The sequence below is a fragment of the Homo sapiens genome, chromosome X (genome assembly GCF_000001405.40).
Source record: "Homo sapiens chromosome X, GRCh38.p14 Primary Assembly".
In the NCBI taxonomy this organism is placed as follows: Eukaryota; Metazoa; Chordata; class Mammalia; order Primates; family Hominidae; genus Homo; species Homo sapiens.
The window spans coordinates 549,763-556,743 of record NC_000023.11 but is presented as its reverse complement, the minus strand read 5'-3'; the positions used below and the strand labels follow the sequence as shown (position 1 = coordinate 556,743).

Below are 6,981 nucleotides of genomic sequence, written 5' to 3'. Positions count from 1 at the left end.
TGGCCGACGCCAGTTCGCAATCCATTTCTGTGCCATGGAGAGAGACGGTTACCTGTGAATTTCAGACCTCTGCAAACTTCCCCCTCCCCCCACCACCCCAAGAAGCATTTAAAGACAGGTGTGGTCAGGCCTACAGCTGTCCATCTGCAAGGTGCGACATGCAGCCGTGGTGACATTGGACGTCGTGAGGGGGGACATGCACCCTGTCCAGAGATGACTGTCCCCGGGGAAGACGGCTGGCTTTTTCCGGCGAGCCATAAAACAAGCTGAAAATAAAACACAGCAAACAAGACGTAGCTGAGCTCAGATCGGATGACGTGGCCTGTTTCTCTGTGTTGAACGTTGTGATTAAATCTGGTGAGGCTCCCCCCCACTCCAGGGGGAGAGAATTTTTGATTTGGAGGTTAAGCCAACATTAGCAAGAAAACATAAAATAAAGTGAGTGCAATTGCCGTAAGCAACAGAGGCACCCTTGATTCCAGGAATGTTTAGCTACAAAACGAGCATCCGCATAACGGTGTAAATGCAGCTAATGACGTGTGCAGAAGCCCTAGCTGGGCCACTGCCTGTAACTAATAAGAAATCAATTAGCTAATGAAGTGCCGATTACATGCAATGCTAATCTGAGCTGGGGTATTTTGGGTTTTTTCATGTTTCTCTCTTCCCTCCTTCTCTCCTTTATGAGGCTGTTTAATTGTGAGTGCCATACGGAGCGTGCAGTGTACAGCATGGCTAATGAAACATCATTATATGGTCGCTGCATTCTCCGAAGGGCTGAACGAGACCTGCTTGCCAATTATTTTTAATTGCCACGTATATCCTCACAACTGCGTCTTCCACGGCGCGCTTCAGAGGCCCGGCTGTCATGTCACACACACACACACACACACACACACAGAGCCAGCTTCTGTTTTTCTCTGCAGCCTCTGGACGTTCAGCTGTGGTCTCGGCCACGGTGCGTGACAGAGGACAGCGCGGCGAAGCGTAAACAGGGCCTGGGTGAAAATGCTTCTCCCTTCCTTGGATGGAGCCTGGTGTGGGACCTCTCCATAAATCCCCTCTCTCCATACATCCCCTCTCTCCATACATCCCCTCTCCAGAGCAGCCTCTCCATACGTCCCCTCTCCAGAACAGCCTCCCCATATATCCCCTCTCCAGAGCAGCCTCCCCATACGTCCCCTCTCCAGAGCAGCCTCCCCATACGTCCCCTCTCCAGAGCAGCCTCTCCATATGTCCCCTCTCCAGAGCAGCCTCTCCATACATGCCCTCTCCAGAGCAGCCTCTCCATATGTCCCCTCTCCAGAGCAGCCTCCCCATATATCCCCTCTCCAGAGCAGCCTCTCCATATGTCCCCTCTCCAGAGCAGCCTCCCCATACGTCCCCTCTCCAGAGCAGCTTCTCCATACGTCCCCTCTCCATACATCCCCTCTCCAGAGCAGCCTCTCCATATGTCCCCTCTCCAGAGCAGCCTCTCCATACATGCCCTCTCCAGAGCAGCCTCTCCATACGTCCCCTCTCCAGAGCAGCCTCCCCATATATCCCCTCTCCAGAGCAGCCTCTCCATACGTCCCCTCTCCAGAACAGCCTCCCCATATATCCCCTCTCCAGAGCAGCCTCCCCATACGTCCCCTCTCCAGAGCAGCCTCTCCATATGTCCCCTCTCCAGAGCAGCCTCTCCATATGTCCCCTCTCCAGAGCAGCCTCCCCATATATCCCCTCTCCAGAGCAGCCTCCCCATATATCCCCTCTCCAGAGCAGCCTCCCCATATGTCCCCTCTCCAGAGCAGCCTCTCCATATATCCCCTCTCTACAGCACCTTCTCCATACGTCCCCTCTCTAGAGCACCTTCTCCGTATGTCCCTCTCCAGAGCAGCCTCTCCATACATGCCCTCTCCAGAGCAGCCTCTCCATATGTCCCCTCTCCAGAGCAGCCTCCCCATATATCCCCTCTCCAGAGCAGCCTCTCCATATGTCCCCTCTCCAGAGCAGCCTCCCCATACGTCCCCTCTCCAGAGCAGCTTCTCCATACGTCCCCTCTCCATACATCCCCTCTCCAGAGCAGCCTCCCCATATATCCCCTCTCCAGAGCAGCTTCTCCATACGTCCCCTCTCCAGAGCAGACCCAAGCTGGCCAGTCCAAGCGGAGCTGGCTCCGGGGTGGGCGGAGACCTGGCATCCGATACGCGTGGGCTGTTCCCCCAGGGACACACCTGGCCCCCGACATACGTGTTTCCACCCCGGGACTCCAGCCTTTCCAACACGTCGGCACCTTGCATTTATGAAGTGGCTTAGACTGCGTAACTCTGCAAGTGACAAGCTGTCACCCCTGCAAACCGTGCTTCTGACCTGGCTGCGGTCCTCGTCCCTGAAATTGGCAGCCGAAGAGAAGGCAGAGGCTCCTGGTGCCCCGACAGTTTGATACGTTCCCAGGGAGATTATGTATCTGTATCTCGGTTGTGGGAAGCTCACACGGCATGACGGAACTTTCAATCTTCCATCTAAACGGGCTGTGGTTTCCCTGATGTTGACCAATCCGGGTCAGGACTCCTCCTTCTTGCCATCCAACATCTGGAATCTCACCATACAATGGCCCTTGGACATGTGCTTTAAAAAATAATAATAACAGCTTGGCATGGTGGTTCACGCCTGTCACCCTAGCACTTTGGGAGGCCAAGGCGGGAGGATCACCTGAGGTCAGGAGTTCGAGACCAGCCTGACCAACATGGTGAAACCCTGTCTCTACTAAAAATACAAACATTTGCCTGGCCTGGTGGCAGGCACCTGTAATCCCAGCTACTTGGGAGGCTGAGGCAGGAGAATCGATTCAACCTGGGAGGCAGAGGTTGCAGTGAGTTGAGATCACGCCACTGCACTCCAGCCTGAGGTCAGGAGTTCGAGACCAGCCTGACCAACACGGTGAAACGTCTCTACTAAAAATACAAGCATTTGCCTGGCCTGGTGGCGGGTGCCTGTAATCCCAGCTACTTGGGAGGCTGAGGCAGGAGAACCGATTCAACCTGGGAGGCAGAGATTGCGGTGAGTCGACATCATGCCACTGCACTCCAGCCTGAGATCAGGAGTTCGAGACCAGCCTGACCAACATGGTGAAACCCCGTCTCTACTAAAAATTCCAAAATTACCCAGGCATGGTGGCAGGAACCTGTCATCCCAGCTACTTGGGAAGCTGAGGCAGGAGAATCGCTTGAACCCGGGAGGCGGAGGTTGCAGTGAGCCGAGATTGCACCACTGCACTCCAGCCTGGGGGACAGAGGAAGTCTCCATCTGAAAAAAAAAAAACAATAGTAATAATAATAAGAGAATTTGTTCCGTCAGAGGAGGTGTGAGTCTTTGCTTTAACTTTTGAATCACATGCAAATTAAATTAGTTAATCCAGCTAGCCCCCCTCCACCTCCCCATTTCAGGAAACCCTGCCACCAGCAGCTGCCAGGGGTTCAGACGTCAGGGGAAGACAGATTTGATGTGACATTTTGTTCATTAAATAAACAAACCTGGTTCGGATAACAGCATTAGGTAGAAAGGCCCATCAATTCTCGTACCCTTAGTTCACGTAATGAGAAGTGACAATTTTTCTTTTACGTTCAGACACGCTCTATCGAGGAACAAAAGGGGGACAGGTGCCTGGCTACCACGGTCGGTATGAAAAAAAAAAGAAACAGAGAACAGCTGATGTATATTAATGAGAAACGTAACTTCTGGCCCAAGGCAACCTCAAGTCCATGGGGCTACTAACGACGTTACGGGGGAAAGAAAAAAAAATCGAACGACTATTTTTTTTTTAATTGTTTCATAATTTGGGGTTTTCTCCCCGGTTGACTTGGGACATTCGACAGAGTCACTGGCCGTGAAGAAGACAGTGGGGTTTCTACGTATGAGAACGAAAAAGGGAATCGCCAAAGACTTGTGCCTTTTTCCCATCGAAGATGAGGCATTGTCTTCAGCAGAGGCTCAGATCTGGGAGCAAAGGGAGTGGAAACCTGTCTGTAAAGAACCTCAACCCACAGGACACCTGAGCACGTGGGGACTTTAAAACTTTCATCGCCCTTGCAGATCCGAACGACAAACGCATTGAAATCTCAGGCAGTCGACCGTCCCGGCAGCAATGCCAGTATGTTTGGGTACATAAAAAATCACACCGCAGGCCGAGTGCGGTGGCTCACACCTGTCATCCCAGCACTTTGGGAGGCTGAGGCAGGTGGATCACCTGAGGTCAGGAGTTCGAGATCAGCCTGGCCAACATGGTGAAACCCCGTCTCTACTAAAAATACAAAAAACTAGCCGGGCATGGTGGTAGCTGCCTGTAATCCCAGCTACTCGGGAGGCTGAGGCAGGAGAATGGTGTGAACCCGGGAGGCAGAGGTTGCAGTAAGCTGACGTCGCACCATTGCACTACAGCCTGGGCAACAAGAGTGGAATTCCTTCTCAAAAAAAGAAAAAAAAAAATCACACCACAGGCCGGGTGTGGTGGCTCATGCCTGTCATCCCAGCACTTTGCGAGGCTGAGGCAGGCGGATCACCTGAGGTCTGGAGTTTGAGACCAGCCTGGCCAACAGGGCAAAACCCCATCTCTGCTAAAAATACAAAAAATTAGCTGGCCATGGCAGTAGCTGCCTGTAATATAGACAATATTTCCTCTGCACGTGTGTGTTTGTGTGTTTTTATGTGTTTGTGTGCATGTATTTGTGCTTTTTGTGTGTGTGTGTACGTGTATTTGTGCATTCATATGTGTGCATGTTCGTCTGTGTGTCTGTATGTTTATGTGTATTTGTGCATGTTTGTGTGCATGACTGTGTGTATCTGTGCATGTTTGTGAGTTTATTTGTGAATGTCTGTATCTGTGCATGGTTTTTTTTGTGTATCTGAGCATGTGTGTGTTTGTGCATGTTTGTCTGTGTGTATTTGTGCATGTATGTCTGTTTCCGCATGCTCATATGTGTGTCTGTGTGTGTCTGTTTGCATGATTGTGCATGCATGTGTGTTTCTGCACGTCTGTTTGTGTATATTTGTTTATATGTGTGTATTTGTGCACGTTTGTGTGTGTTTCTGTGTGTTTGTGCATGTTTTATGCCTGATTGTGTGTATGTGCAAGGAAGGAAGGAGGGAAAGGGAGAGAGAGACAGGAAAGAAGGAAAGAAGGAAAGGACGAGAGAAGAAAGAAAAAAAAAGAAAGAAAGAAAGAGAGAAAGAGAGAGAGAAAGAGAAAGAAAAAGAAAGAGAGAAAGAGAAAGAAGAAAGAAATAAAGAAAGAAAGAGAAAGAAGAAAGAAAGAAGGAAGAAAAGGAAGAGAGAAAAAGAAAAAAAGAAACAGAAAGAAAGAAAGAGTAAGAAAGAAGAAAGAAAGAAGGAAAGGAAGAGAGAAAAAGAAAGACAGAAACAGAAAGAAAGAAAGAGTAAGAAAGAAGAAAGAAAGAAAGAAAGAGAGAAAGAGAGAAAGAAAGAAAGGAGAGAGAGAGAGAGGAAGGAAGAAAGAAAGAAGAGAGAGAGAGAGGAAGGAAGAGAGAGAAGTATTCACCTAGAAGAGATCATGCAAAAACGCAAGAGTGTGGCTGTACCCTGGGAACAAATGGGAAGATTGTATGTTGGTGACCCTTGATCTTACTCTTTTATTTCAAAAAATTATAAGGTTTTTGCAGGAAGGGGCAGATAGTCTTCAACTTATTGAGGTGGCTGGATGAATGGATAGATGGATGATTGGATGGATGGATGCATGGATGGATAGATGAATGGGTAGGTGAATGGATCAATGGATGGATGGATGAGTGGATAGACGGATGGGTGGATGGATAGATCGATGGATGGGTGGGTGGATGGATGGATAGATAAGTAAATAGATGAGTGGCTGTGTGGATGAATGAATGGATGGATGGATGAATGGATGGATAGATGGGTGGGTGAATGGATGACTGAATAGATGAGTGGATGGATGGATGGATGAATGAATAGAAGAATGAAAAATGGATAGATGGAAGAATGAGTGGTTGGATTGATGGATGAATGGATATATGGATAGATGGGAGGGTGGATGGATGGATGGATGCATAGATAGATGGATGATTGGTAGGTTGGATAGATAACAGATGAATGGATGGATGATTGGGTAGGTAGATGGATGAATGGATGATTGGATGGATGCATGAGTGAATGGATGGACGGATAGATGGATGATTGGATGGATGGATGGATGGATGGATGGATAGATGGATGGGTGGGTTAATGGATGGATAGATAAATAAATACATGAGTGGGTGGATGGATGAATGGATGGAACGTTGGATGGATGGATGGATGGATGGATGGATGGATGGATGAATAGATAGATGGATGGGTGGGTTAATGGATGGATAGATAAATAAATACATGAGTGGGTGGATGGATGAATGGATGGAATGTTGGATGGATGGATGGATGGATGGATGGATGAACAAACAGATGAATGAATAATGGATAGATGAATGAATAAGTAGATGGATGGATGGATGGAAGGATGCATAGATAGACGGATGATTGGAAGGTTGGATGGATAATGGATAAATGGATGGATGAGTGGGTAGGTGGATGGATGGATGGATGAGTGGGTGGATGGATGGATGGATGGAAGGATGGATGGATGGGAAGATGGGTAGATAAATGGGCAGATGGGTGAGTGGGTGGGTGGATGGATGGATGGATGGATGGATTGATAGATAAATAGATGAGTGGCTGGGTGGATGAATGAATCGATGGGTAGATGGGTGGGTGGATGGATGGAAGAAGGGATGGAAGGCTGGATGGATGAGTGGACGGATGGATAGATAGATGAATGAATAATGGATAGATGAATGAATGAGTGGATGGATGGATGGATGGATGCATAGATAGATGGATGATTGGAAGGTTGGATGCATAATGGATGAATGGATGGATGAGTGGGTAGGTCGATGGATGGATGGATGGAGGGATGGATGGATGGATGCATGCATGCAT

General features: G+C 48.8%; 2 annotated features.

The window, feature by feature from the left end:
- Positions 250-869: an enhancer, noted in NCBI's record as "CNE-2 PCR-amplified reporter construct fragment". NCBI's record gives its function as "enhancer in ovo in chicken limb buds, and in human U2OS osteosarcoma cells" and the evidence as "EXISTENCE:reporter gene assay evidence [ECO:0000049][PMID:19997128, PMID:26631348]".
- Positions 513-812: a conserved region, noted in NCBI's record as "conserved region; CRCNE00011089 more deeply conserved sub-region". NCBI's record gives the evidence for it as "EXISTENCE:sequence alignment evidence [ECO:0000200][PMID:21731768]".